Consider the following 14,050-nt stretch of genomic DNA (forward strand, 5'->3'; position numbering starts at 1 on the left):
GGCAGGATATGGACCAAGAAGAGCTGCCCCTGGAGGAGTACCTACTGTGGGCCCAACATCTCCCAATACCCAGGTGTTCAGGGATACAGGGAGGTGACTGTAGATGAAGAAATGAGTTTGGGAGATTTAGTAACCAGCCTATGTTCATTTAGATCATGGCCATGCTGAGACTTTATGTTCTAGAACTTCAAAATTTGTACTTCCTCCACTACACTAGGAGAAAGACATTCATTAGACATAGAAGGAAAGGACCAGGGTAGATTCACAGACTTACTTTGGAAAGGAGATAAGGGAAACAGAAGAGAGTCTGTGTCAGTCTTGGTCCTCAGTCTGGGACGAGGTGAGTCCACGACACAGCAGTGCCGCACATCTGTATCACCATCACTGAAGCCCTGCTGGAAAAGTCCCTTTGTCCAAGATGCCCACGACTGGAGTCTCCAGCAGCCACAGAAACAGAATGGTCTGTAGGTATGTTTCCTAAAAATAAACAGGTGCATCTCCTTGTGAAGGGGCAGCTCCTGCTCTCCTCACAGGGACTCATGTAATGTTAGTCATTTTGTGCTGATTGGTTCACCTTTTCCAAAAGAAACTTGAATTTCTGCTCTACCTTCCCTTCATTAATAGATCCTGATAGTAGCCTTAAAAGCTTTGATGTAAAGAAGACATTTCCGCTGGGCACGGTAGCTGACACCTGTAATCCCAGCACTTTGGGAGGCTGAGGCAGGTGATCACTGGAGCCCAGGAGTTCAAGACCAGCCTGGGCAACATGGTGAAACCCCATCTCTACCAAAAATACAGAAAAAAAAAAATCCAGGTGTGGTGGCGCGCACCTGTAGTCCCAGCTACTAGGAAGGCTGAGGTGGGAGAATCGCTTGAACCCAGGTGAGATTGCAGTGAGCTGAGATTGCACCACTGCACTCCAGCCTGGGCAACAGAGGAGACCCTATCTCAAAAATAAACATTTCCTAGACAAAGGAAAAGGAAGAAGAACAAATAGAAAAGTTTGTCTCCTGGGAACGTCAGACTGTTTCATTTCTTTATCCACTATCTCTTCATGGGTGATGTCAAGAGACCATGGCTTACTGAACTGACCACTTTTAAAGAATCTGCCAATCCAAACAGGACCACATTCATTACTAGATGCTGATGTATGCTTTTATTTATTTTTATATTTATTTAAATTTAGAGACAGAGTCTCGCTCTGTCACCCAGGCTGGAGTGCAATGGCGTGATCTTAGCTCACTGCAACCTCCACCTCCTGGGTTCAAGCAATTCTCCTGCCTCAGCCTCCCAAGTAGCTAGCTGGGATTACAGGCATGCACCACCGTGCCCAGATAATATTTTTTGTATTTTTAGTAGAGACAGGGTTTCACTTTATTGGCCAAGCTAGTCTTGAACTCCCAACCTCAGGTGATCCGCCTGCCTCGGCCTCCCAAAGTGGTGAATTACAGGCCTGATGTATGCTCTTAAAGGCCAAACAATTGTTCCCACATCCTCTCCCCTGTGTATCACAAAGCATCAGTATTTAAACATCCACCATGAGCCTTGTTGGATTCTGATTCAAACAAATGGTAGAAAACATTGAGACAATTGGGGAATTGTGAACAGTGGATATTTCATAAGCAATTATTTTAAGTGTGACAATAGGCCAGGTGCCGTGGCTCATGCCTGTAATTCCAGCACTTTGGGAGGCCGAGGCAGGCAGATCACTTCACATCGGGAGTTCTAGACCAGGCTGGCCAAAATGGTGAAACCTTGTCTCTACTAAAAATACAAAAATTAGCTAGATCTCGTGGCGCACACCTATAGTCCCAGCTACTTGGGAGGCTGAGGCATGAGAATCACTTGAACCTGGGAGGCGGAGGTTGCAGTGAGCCGAGATCACGCCACTGCACCTCAGCCTGGGCAACATAGCAAGACTGTGTCTCAAAAAAAAAAATAAGAAAAATTTAAAATGTGATAATAGAATGCAGTTTTTTAAAAAGCATCCTTAACTTGAAAATAAATAACAATTCAGAAATCTGGTAGAAAACCTAAAGGGCACCACTTCTATGTCTCAAAGGACAAAAACATGAAAAAATAGGCTGAAATAAAACCGAGGTGTTCAATGATTAAAATATGGCCCAGCCCCATGACTAGATGCTACTCAATGAAAACAGTTAACACTTCATGTGTTTAACATGTATTAACTCAATCTTTTCAAAATACTAAATTCGATTATCTCCATTTCACAGATGAAGAAACTTGAGGTACACAGAAGCCGACTGGCTGAGTTACGAGTTGAAGCCAGGTACTCCCGCCTCCGGAGTCCGTGCAGCCAGCTGCCATGCTCGCTTGCTGTAGGTTATATGCACTGTAAAATAACAATGGTTGTTAATAAGAATGAAATCGGTTAAACTTCCAGTAGAAGAACTTAAGACTGGCAGAAGAGAAGGTGATGATGAGGCTTTGGACTTTGAATCGTGTCAAGAGGTGAAGGGGGGATTATGCACAAATCCTTCCCTACTATCCCTACAACCACAGCATGGGGCAGAGGAACCGCTAGGCTGGTTCACTGTGGCACCTGCTGCCAGCAAATGCCTGTTCTTCCTGCCTTCTCTGACCATGGGCACAGAAGTCCTCAGTCCCTAATGTTCAATTTAAACCTATTGGTGTGAAGACACCACTCCCTTATTATCCAGGCTTTGGGCAATTTCCATTTCACTGAGCTCAGCGTGGCAGCTTCTCTCTGTCATTGGCCACGTGCTTTTTCCACTTGGTCCTCATTCCCCATCCCTCACTTCCTGTGGCCAGTGTTGGGAGGTTGGGCCAACTCCATGCTCAGCCATAGAATTTTGATCTTCCGTCCCTTCTCCCTGTTAGCAATATAATCCTGTAGTCCTGAAAATAGATTTTCCTGAGGAGCCATCCATTTGACAGACAGATGAATATGGACCACTGCTGATGATTACTAAGTATCTCAGTGGGATTCAACAAAATCGATTCCAGAGGCCGACATCAACTCCTGACAGGGTGTCCTTTCACCAGATCTCATTGAAGGCACTGAGAAGAAAGTGAGTGCCCGAAGAAAGGGCCTCAGGGAGGAAAAGGAATTTCTTAATATGCAAAGCCTTCAGCCTGGTCATCCCATCTCATGCTTGACTGATCACAGTAACCAAGCCCTTGTGCCTCCTAGGAAAGGTCACAGGAGACTCCGGAGCCTGCCACTGTCAACAGTGATGCCCGTTTGGCTGGCACTGGGTTGGAATGATTTGATAACCTGGTTAGAAGCAGGGAAACCAGAAGCTGGAGCCGTCACCGTAGAGCTCTGTTTCAATTGACAAATGCAAGCCAGATGCCTTACAGCAGCTCCTCTTCTACGGACTTCAGTCTCTCTACAAGAAACATGCATTGTGTTGCCACCACCTTCAAAGTGGCAGCCAGTGTGAATCCTGGGGAGTTTATGTGGGACTCAGGATCCAAAGGAGGCACCCATTCATCAGATATATATTAAGAACCTGCCTAGTGCAAGGAACTGTGTGGGGCTCAGCAAGGAATCCCAAAATGAGAAAGATTAGCCCCTGCCCTCACGGAGCATACACTCTAGAAAGGTTGTAAAAACAAACTTTGTATATTTTAGAATTGGATTAGAGCAAAGTCAGGTTCCCTCAAAATTAGAAAATTGTAACTAGATGCTATAATGTATAATGGATGTACAAAGTAAATGTACAAAGTAAATTATTCCTAAGGAATCTTGGATTACTCATGCACTGAAACCATCCACCCATTGCTTAAATTCTAGAATCAACCTCCAAAAGGCTGAATCTCAATATTTAAAAAGTGATGTTGCTACTTCTGGAATCTTCACAGAAAAACCAAGGTGATGTGCAACCCACACAGTGGAATAATACTTAGCAAGAAAAAGGGCTGTGAACACATGCACATGTGATGGTGCTCACGGGCATGAGCAACAGTGAAAAGCAGCCCATCTCAAAACTCTACAAACTGCATCCCATTGATACACCATTCTTGAAATGACAAAACTACAGAGACAGAGAAAAGACTAGTGACTTCAGGGGACAGGAATGGAAGGGAGGGGAGGCAACTACAAAGGGGTGGCACAAGGGGATTCCTCTGCAGTGACGATGAGTAGGATGGCGGCCACCATGAATCTACACGTGGGGTCAAATTCCATAGAGTGCACGCTGAACTGCTGAAAACCAAGGAAGCCTGTGGTCTGGATTACTGTGTCCTTCCAATGTTACTTTCCTGGTCTCATATAGTTAACGTAAGATCTCACCACTGGGGGAAGCAGAGGGAAGGGTTCATGGGACTCTTATTTTTGCAACTTCCTCAGAGTCTCAAAATAAAATATGTACATACTGACATAGAAACTTTACCTTCTTTTTATGCTTTTGAAGGGAATATGGAGAAGAAAATGAGCCTTACTACCACGAAGCCTTTTGAAACTCTCCCTGCACGTGTGCACCTGCAGTGCTCCACTGACCAGTCAGAGGAGGCAGTGCGGACCGTGGGACCAAGCGGTGCCCACTGGCTTTCTAGCGCCCGCTCTGCTACCATGGGTCCCTGTGGGAGAACCCCTAGCATGGCGTGGCCATGAGGGAAGCCTAGGCGAGGGAGGGTGTCAGTCTGGGGTATGACTGTGAAGCTCAGCATCTGGGACCATAGGGACAAGAGACGACCCGGGAGCACTAAGAATTCATCTTCTGGTCCGCCCCTCCGATGACGGTTGGTTGGTCCATAACCCTACTCCCCATGCTCCTGGCCCACATGCAAGGCAGAGACAGCCGTTCCGTGTTTCTCCCCCAGCCGCAGCGGCCAGGGAGCCGCTCCTCGTCTTGCTTCCGGTTGATGTGTCGTTGGTACTCCTCCTCGGATGCCCTCTCCTGAAGCCATCCAGCCTCTGCCTTTCCTTGCGTGTCTGGGCTGAATCAGCTTCCCTTATTCAGAATTAATCAAATGGAAAGGAAGAGCAGAATTTCACTCTCTAGCAGAGCCCTCCCAAGACTGCCGCAGAACTGAGATGAGGTGACCAGGCTTTCTCCGAGAGCGACAGGCCCCAGCTATGCTGGCAAGATCTGTGTTGATGTGGCCTGCCATGTGCTGCCCGTGAACATCTCCTCACCAGAATCATTAGCAGAAACGTTTGCCAGGCTTGGACATTTCCATGGAGAAGATGATTAATTATGAACCAAGAATCCCCCCGATAGGACTCAGCCCCCACCAAGACCGTAGAGCCTTAGTGTGATTCAACTCCATCCCCACCTGGCGGTCAGCCTGTCGAGGGGCCAGTGAGGAATCTGACAGCAGGACTCTAACCACTGGCTACGGTGGAAAAGGCCTCAGGAAACAGTTTTCACTCACAGGGAGAATTACTGCTTCCCATGAAAGCATTTTCCAGTGAGTGGAGGTGGGTTTAGGTGTTATCTGTGCGGCAGAGGTACCATCTCCCATGTCTAGAAAGGAAAAAGAGAAGATGAAGGCCTTGCCCACATCCAATCCAAAGGGGAGAGACATCCTGGCGAGCTCAGCACATAAGAGAACGAGAGATTAGCTGTCCCTGCATCAGAGCGCCAGGAAGGCTGTCCCCTCTGATCACTGGCTGGAGCCTGCATCACAGTCACCCGTGTTTGCACTGGAAGCCATGGGCAACGCAACAGATTGTGAGGAAACCCTGCAGATGGCTCCGTTAATAAAGCTGCCGTTCACCATGCCAAAGCTGAAGTGGTTTCTATGGGAAACTCTCACAATAAAATAGAAGGAAGTTTTTTTAATCAAATTTTAGTAGTTAATTACTTTTTTTATTAACCATTATCAAGTTTAAACACAAGGATTTGCCAGGGAGGGCACTCAGGAAACCACAGACGCGGCCGTTGGCACCACCAGGAGCTGAGGGGTTTCTCGGGCACAGGATCCCCCCAGCGGCTCTTGCTCCTCCATGTCCTGATTCAACGCTAGGCTCCGTTCCACACCACTCACTCGAAGCATGAGAGACACACACTAGTGGTGAACCAAGAGGACTGCGGGGCAGCCTCCAAGGCCACAGGCGTTACTCCTGCCTCTACAGAGCTGGCGCGGTGGCTTGAGCTCCAGGCATGTGAGCGACACTGGCCGACAACCTCCTTGAAACCCCCTCCTCTCCTGCCACCATTCCTCCTGGTTTCTTTCTTCCCTTCTGCCCTTCCTCCCTCCCTTTATCCCTCCCTCCTGCCTTGCTTTCCTCCTTTCTTATTTTTAACACTTTTTAAATTTATTACTTCCAATAAAGTGCAGAATCTCAGCGCATTGTGCACACATATACACCCACACAGCCACCCCTGGAGGAAGACCTGGGATGCTGCCAGCACTCAGAAGTCGGCCTGTGACCCGCTCCTGTCAGGGACTCCCACAGGGCAGCCTCGACTCTGCCCTCCTGTCGCCACTGAAGACTTTGGTTTGGTTTTAGCTTTTACATGAATGGAACCCCAAGTGTGCTCTCTGTCGTGTCCACCTTCCTCTGTTCACACAACCCGTGAACCTCGCTGCTCTCTTCCTCTCCACCCACCTTGTTCAGTCTTGGTTATCCCCCATTCTATTTCCTCACTCCCACACGACCCTCTGAACAATGTCGCAGACACCCCTGGTTTCTGCAGCCACCTGTATATTCGGTCTCGAGTTTTAACTCCAGTCCAGATCCCTCGCCTTCTCCTCAGACCGAATGCTTATGGGATTCCTCACCTAGAAGACCCATAGGCAACCCACATTCTCCAAAGAAACACGCCCTGCCTTGTTTACCCCCAGGTTCTGTACTCCACTCCCCACTCACCCAGAAGCCAAGCTGCACCATCCTGGGGGTACCCCAGAGACAACCTCCCCTCTCCAGGGACGGGCAGTTGTCACACTGAGTTCACTCTGCCTTCCTCGCGCCCCTGGGATCCATTCTTTTCTCTCGTGCCCTCGGCTGTCACTCCCAGGCCCCCATCAGCTCTCATAACAACTCTTAATTATCAATTGTTGTAAGTCTTTTTCCTCTCCATTCTGTCCTCCACACTGCCACTGTGGGTTCAAAAGAAGCAAACCAAAACAAAAACATCCTTGCTGGATCAGGTGGTTAGTCCCGACACACACCCTGCTCACCAGCCAGAGTCCAGCTCTCGGGCCTGGCCCCAGGAATGTGCTCCGTAACGCCTGAGCCTCTTCCTCTCATCCTGGATCCTGCCTTTCCTCTCTTCTCCCCGACCCCCCAGGCGCACCCGAGATGCCCTCACACCTCAGTGCATGCCTTCCCCATGTCCTCTAGTGGAAATCACCTACTCACGTGAGGTGCAAGTTCAACAGCGCCCCAGTGGGAGCTTCCCTGCCATTCCTCCTCTCACCTTCCCGGGGCCTGGCCCTGCACTGGGCCGCTCCACTGCACTCTGACTGTGCTCATCATTCTGCAAGCACGGGAGGCCAGGAGCAGTGTCGCCTTTCTCCATGTCTCCACTGCGCAGCACACTGCAGAAGGAATGATTTGTGCTTCAAGAGCTACTGATGGCAAAGGTGGGGCAAATGGTCGGCACCTCTAACCTCTGTTCAGACCTGGAGCCAAAGAAAGCGAGCTCACCTCTGGCATCCTGGGTTTGAAGGGCCTCAAGTGCCCCAGCCTGCAGAATCCCCACGCTGGCTTAGAGATTCTGTCTTGGTTATAACGTGTCACATCCATAATCAATGGAGAAAACAAACAGAAAAAATATGCTGGATGACAACTTATGGGTGAGTCCCACAGGGGGACACAGTGGTTTATTTCAGTCCTCCCTCAACCCCTCCTGCTGTGGCCACTAGACAGGAGCGTGGAATGCTGGCCCTCAGGAGACTGAGGCTGCAGACAGGCCCTGATGAGAACTCACATCTACCCCTTGGCAGGAGCAAGGCCACCCACACCTAAGGCATAAAGGCTCAGAATAAGCCAGGTCATGGCGTCGCAGGGGGCAGCACACTTCCCTCCCGACCTGCCCAAGTCCCACCTGGGCAGACCATGCCTCACTTGGTACCCCAAGGCCTGCCCAAGCTTGCCTGGGCTGGGCGGCCTACCTTAAACACTCCTTAACTTCCTTTCCCACAGCCATGGGATTGCTTTTTGCAAGTCATGTGGTTCAATCTAGCCAGCAGTGCTCCCCCAGCCCTCCTGCTGCCGTGGGCGCCCACATCCTTCAGCTCAAAGAACAGGTCCTGACTCAGAGTGATGGGTGGGGGGACACAAAGTTATAAAACCAACTTTCCAAATGACAATTTGCTCAAGAGTACTTAGTTCCAGAGGAGGCAAGGGAACAGCTACCAAGTATAAACAAAGGCTGCTCTGTGTAACTCAACTTTAATTAGAATGACAACTAATTGAAAGTAATTTAATGCTAGTTCATGAAAGATTAATGGAATTCATGTTTTGGAGATGCTGAATGCAACACAGATTTGGCCTGAAACACAAATCTAACCTTTATTCACTTTAATTATTCAGTCAGAATCATTTCCTGGGAGCAAGTCTAGTCTCTGGACGGCTCTAATCAAACACCACTGAACTTTGAAGACATCAACTCATTCAGCTGCAACTCAATTTTCAAATTAATCTGCCACATAACATGGAGGCTTTGTGGCCTAAGCAGGGGGCAGGTGGGAGGGGAAGATGGGGTTAAAGCCCTCCCAGGTATGAACTGATTCTAGAGCATCTGACCTTCCCCACCCTCTCTAGTGGCGAGGCACTTCCGGAACTGGTGCCAGGTCTTCCTATGAGAGGCTGAGCTGAGCAACCACGCTGCCTCCATGCTTGAGCTCAGGGCTCCACACTCACAACTGAAGCCTAAGCCTGGTACAGCTGGAACCCTGAAGGGGGCCCTGGACCAGCAGAGCCTGCCTCTTCCACCCTAGCCTAGCTGCCCTTCCCTGCTCTCTCCCTCTCCCTAGGAGAGCTGAGACGAGGGACTTGAGCTCTCTGCTTGGCAAGATGCCCTCAGAAACCACCCCAATTTCTGCACCCACTTATTCCTTGGCCCTTCAGGCAGGCACCAGGTACGGCCCACACAGACTCAGCCTCTCCTTCCCTGCCTTGGAAAACCCAGGTCCCTAACTCCATCTGCTTTACTTTACAGCCCTTCCAAGGCTTCTTCCTAAAACCTTCTCTGCCAAAGGGGAGGCAACGCCACCATTTCTCACAGCCTGGGGCAGCTTGGAATGTGATATTTGGAGTCAGCAAAGATTCCAATCTGGCTAATACACATTAGGCAGTGTAGAGACCTGTGCTTTGGCCCTGAGGCACAGCCATGTGACCATGACTAATCTATGTCATAGACGAGGTCAGAACAAGAGAAGGCAGGATGTCCCAGGAGGGCTGTGTCAGAACTCAAGGAAAAAAATATGACCTAAAGAATGCTCTTCCTGGCCATTCAGCGCCCCCCGTTTCGGGTTTTGCAGCAGACTTCCCCTGGGAAGTCAGCTCCAGCAGTCTTGGGACCCTGGGCAAGCAGCATCTGGGCCCCCCACCTGCCCATCCCAACACATCCTGCAGCAGTGCCGCACCCGGGCACCGTGGAGCCACAGAGGTCAGGAGGCCTGATTCCAGCTTATGCAAGTGACAGTGGCTGATGGCAGAGGAGACTGCAAGTGATCGTCCCACTCCCCTCCTACCTCAGGAGGTGCTGAGCCACCCTCACTGCTCTCGTTCACGTCATGAGAGCAAGAGTCAGCTGCTGCCGCCCTCCAGGCTACCAGGCCTGACCTGCTACCACCAAGGCATGACATGGGTTCCCAGAACAGCAGCCACAGCCAGATTTCCCTCCACCACACCCACCCGGGCAGCCTCCTCTAAAGTCACCAAACCCCGCCAGTCACAGAGAGCTCCCAGATCAGAACAGGTGAAGGATAACTGCAGAATTCCTCAATAACAAGGCCGTTTGCTAGCCATGTGGTCTATCAACCCTAAGAGGTGGAGAGACACCCTGAAAATGACCCTAAGCATGGTTCATCTCTGAGGCTCCAGCACCTAATAGTGTGTGCTTCTGCGCACTAATTAAATGTCTAGAATAACAGAGAATTAATGCAACTCCTTGAAGACTGTGGGTTAGGGAGTCCCTGAGGAGCCAAAGATACCGGCCAATGATCCCGACAAGAGGAGCTCTAGGGACAGGGCCCCATTTCTCAGCCAACCCGACATGGGCAGTCTGTGGTACTAAATAGTGACCCAGCCTAGGAGGTGTGGAGGCAAAACGTCAAATATATGTATTAAATCACTGGGACCAGGCAGTATCAGAATTTCTCAGCAACCAATTTTTATAGCCCCAGGTATAACCTCTAGCTATTGAAGATGAATGGGACAGAAAGTGAGAGGTTTACCAAGCTTTTGACCATGAGGAAAATCAGAAGGAAGACGTGGGGATGAACAGACCTCAATGTCAGACAAGCCAGGGGAGCCTGCCCAAAGCCACACACATGAAGAGAAGAAAAAAGCAGATAAATAAACGAAAGCTGGCCAGTGTTATCAAAGCCACACCAACCTTCACCTTACCCAACAGCTTCACAGCAAAGTCACACTGGATGAAGGGGCCGAGAAGGAGAGCGAAAGCTAGTCAGACCCTGAAAGGGAATCTGGCTGACAGAAAGAGCAAAGCCAGGGATAAGTGGGCACTGCTTTACAAGGACAAGTGTAAAGTAGCCATTTTCAACCTTTCTTACCCTTGTGTACCCTAAAAAAAAATTTACATCTATGCATATCTAAGCTTAATACGTAAAATTCTTCATTTTAAATTTAAATAGTTGCAAAAAGTATAGTTTCTATTGTTATAAATATTAGCTAAATTATTAAATCAGTTCTAAATGTATCCAACGGAATGTAACCTCCACTGCAGTTGGACACCCACCTTCATCTGGTTAAAAATACACATCTATACAACAGTCAGAAACCTCTGCTTACACGTGTTTTTCCATTCCACTCCCATACCTACAACTCTGTCCCAAAACATTTACCCTACTACAACTTTAGGAATGAAAGTCTCCTTTTGCTCATACATAATTCTCTGTAACACTCTAAAATTGAAATTTGTTTAAATTTCCTGTGACCATAAACTCTAAGTGTTAGAAATACTTTTGTTCTAGATTGAATTATTACAATTACTATTAGTACATATTTGACCAAAACAAAGTATGAGAAAATCTGTCTTAGAATGCGTCGCAGGCCCGGCGCGGTGGCTCACGCCTGTAGTCCCAGCAGTTTGGGAGGCTGAGGTGGGCAGATCCCGAGGTCAGGAGATGGAGACCATCCTGGCTAAGGCAATGAAACCCCATCTCTACTAAAAATACGAAAAATTAGCCCACGTTGTGGCAAGCGCCTGTAGTCCTAGCTACTCAGGAGCCTGAGGCAGGAGAATGGCGTGAACCCAGGAGGCGGAGCTTGCAGTGAGCTGAGATTGCGCCACTGTACTCCAGCCTGGGTGACAAAGCAAGACTCCGCCTCAAAAAAAAAAAAAGGCATCGCAATTAGAGGGAGGGAGCTGGTTCCGGTTTCCATGGATAAATCTTGCTTACTGTTAAAATAAGGTAATTTCAGCATCAATTCCATTCCCATTTTTATTTTTACAGATATAAGCACTGAAAAACCTTGTTTTCATAAACAGAAGGGAATGAAGTTTCGTGATAGCAAAATCACAATTCTTTGAACTCCTGAGTTATAAGTCATGTGTGATCTATTATCAAAATTATTTTTAGGCCAGGTATGGTGGCTCACACCTGTAATCCCAGCACTTTGGGAGGCTGAGGCGGGCAGATCACCTGAGGTCAGGAGTTCGAGACCAGCCTGACCAACATGGAGAAACCCTGTCTCTACTAAAAATACAAAAATTAGCCAGGTCTGGTGGCACACACCTGTAATCCCAGCTACTCAGGAGGCTGAGGCAGGATAATCACTTGAACCCGGGAGGCGGAGGTTGCAGTGAGCCGAGAATGTACCATTGCACTCCAGCCTGGGTGACAAAAGCAAAGCTCTGTCTCAAAACAAAAACAAAAACAAAATTATTTTTAATGATCAAGTGACAACTTAGCTGGCTCCTCCTTCAATTTTGTTAAAAACCTCTAAATTGCAAAAAAAAAAACTGTCAGTCATTAGAGACACACACTTCCTCAATGTTACCAATATTTGCACATATTCCTACATTGCCCCAGGGATGGTTTTCACTCTCCAGGGCAACACCCCTTGGTGGGACAAGAATGGCTGAGGGTCTGCCTTCCTTTCAGAGTGAAAGACCATCATACAGGACCCCCTTAAGCCAGGTGTGCTCTGCAGCAGCTTAATTTTAGGAGGTATAATGGAGGATGACTTAAAATAATTCCCTTAAACTATCCTTGTGTGGGTACCCCATGAAGTCTTCATACCCCCGGGGTCATGTGAACCCAGAGCACTGTTGTGAAGAGTAGGACCGCACTTACTCAGCACCGTGGCCTAACTGCATGGCCTGGAGGAGGTGAGTAGAGGGAAGGACCCTGTATTAACAGCATCTCATCCAGACAGCACTGAGAAGAGACGAGCCGGTGAGAGGGAGGAGGGTCTTCCTCTGAGTAAACAAACCAACCTGGCAAGGGTTCAGAGTAACGTGCTTAGAAGGCATAATCCTAACTCTGAGAATAAAGCGAAAGATTCTGCACCGTCAATTAACATCCAAGAATAGGGCAGCCTGCACTCCTTCCCTGCATCTGCCCCCACAGCCTGGCACCAAACAGCTGACTGGCCCAGTGGAGGACACCTCACCCAAATGGGACAATAACATTCTCTCTCTCCTGGAATTAAGGGCATGTTGCCAGCAGCTGGACAACAATTTCCTTCCAAATCCAATGAGAAACAGAGAAAGCTGGTCTGCAGAGACAGAATTAAACAGCTGCATAATCAAGAGAGTGACAGAAAGGACAGGTACCTTGGACTCGAAGGCAGTCCTTGTGAGGCCCAGCTTCGCTCAGGTTCTGAAAAATCTCCCTTTGTGTATCAGCTGGATTTAATGAATTTCTGGAGCTTGCAATCAGAAGAGGTTTGGCTCAGGAGTCACTAGAGACTATTCCTGAGGAAGTCAGCCCAATAGACCAATACATTTAGCATTATCAATAAGTACTCTGGGCCAGGCAAGTGGCTCACATCTGTAATCCCAACACTTTGGGAGGCTACAGCAGGAGGATTGCTTGAGGCCAGGAGTTCAAGACCAGCCTGGGCAACACAGCAGCAAGACCTCGTCTCTCCCAAAAGCTTACTGCAACAGCGCCTATTGTCCCACTACTTAGGAGGGTGAGGTGGATCACTTGAGCCCAGGAGGTCAAGACTACAGTGAGCCAGTATCGAGCCACTGCACTCCAGTCTGGGCGACGGAGTGAGACCCTGTCTCAAAAAAAAAAAGGAAATTAGCTTTTTATTATAATTAGTGATGTTGAATATCTTTTTTAAAAAAATGTTTTATTCTTTTTAAAGTTAAATTATATTTCCTTTTTTTATGAGCTATCTATTCATGTACTTTGCCCATTTATCTCCAGAGTACTTTTTTTTAAAAATTCTTTAGAGATTGGCTTTTGCTCTGTCGCCCAGGCTGAAATGCAGTGGCGCAATCTCAGCTCACTGCAGCCTTGACCTCCTGGGCTCAAGCGATTCTCCTGCCTCAGCCCTTTTTGTATTTTTGTAGAGACAAGGTTTCACCATGTTGCCCAGGCTGGTCTTGAACTCCTAAGCTGAAGTGATCTGCCACCTCAGCCTCCCAACATGCTGGGATTATAGGCGTGAGCCATGGCGCCCGGCCTAGTAAGGCAATTTAAACCACAAAGAAATGTTATCACTTAGAGGACTGGCAAAGATCAAAAAGTTTGGTAATATTTTATGTAGACAAAGGTAAAAAGAAACAGGCACTCTCAACACTGCTAGATAGGAATGTAAACCAGCACCTTTTTTTTTTTTTTTTTTTTAGTAATTAGCACTATTGAAATTGGAAATGCACATCCCCCTCACCTCCTAAATCTCACGTCTAGAAATGATCCTAGAAATATATCCAACATTGTATTAAATGACAGCTAAAGATTA

General features: G+C 48.1%; 1 protein-coding gene across 1 annotated transcript in view, besides 3 other annotated features; it reads right to left on the reverse strand.

Moving 5' to 3' along the window:
* Window positions 1-2,166: 2,166 nt before the first annotated feature.
* The window catches only part of COX7A2L (cytochrome c oxidase subunit 7A2 like), a 33,399-nt gene continuing 21,515 nt past the window's right edge, over window positions 2,167-14,050 (reverse strand). The window contains exon 3 of the mRNA NM_001319038.2: window positions 2,167-2,353. Coding sequence (NP_001305967.1) covers window positions 2,345-2,353 — 9 coding nt within the window. The 3' untranslated portion in view covers window positions 2,167-2,344. The remainder of the gene's footprint in view (window positions 2,354-14,050) is intronic.
* Window positions 6,626-7,534: an enhancer, noted in NCBI's record as "H3K27ac-H3K4me1 hESC enhancer chr2:42567158-42568066 (GRCh37/hg19 assembly coordinates)". NCBI's record gives its function as "activates a minimal SCP1, AML or CMV promoter by ChIP-STARR-seq in primed H9 embryonic stem cells {active_cell/tissue: H9 hESC(primed)}" and the evidence as "EXISTENCE:reporter gene assay evidence [ECO:0000049][PMID:30033119]".
* Window positions 7,097-7,391: a silencer, noted in NCBI's record as "tiled region #3908; K562 Repressive non-DNase unmatched - State 17:Gen3'". NCBI's record gives its function as "represses a minimal TATA promoter and a strong SV40 promoter by Sharpr-MPRA in K562 cells {active_cell/tissue: K562}" and the evidence as "EXISTENCE:reporter gene assay evidence [ECO:0000049][PMID:27701403]".
* Window positions 7,535-8,442: an enhancer, noted in NCBI's record as "H3K27ac-H3K4me1 hESC enhancer chr2:42568067-42568974 (GRCh37/hg19 assembly coordinates)". NCBI's record gives its function as "activates a minimal SCP1, AML or CMV promoter by ChIP-STARR-seq in naive H9 embryonic stem cells {active_cell/tissue: H9 hESC(naive)}" and the evidence as "EXISTENCE:reporter gene assay evidence [ECO:0000049][PMID:30033119]".

The sequence above is a fragment of the Homo sapiens genome, chromosome 2 (genome assembly GCF_000001405.40).
Source record: "Homo sapiens chromosome 2, GRCh38.p14 Primary Assembly".
NCBI lineage: Eukaryota > Metazoa > Chordata > Mammalia > Primates > Hominidae > Homo > Homo sapiens.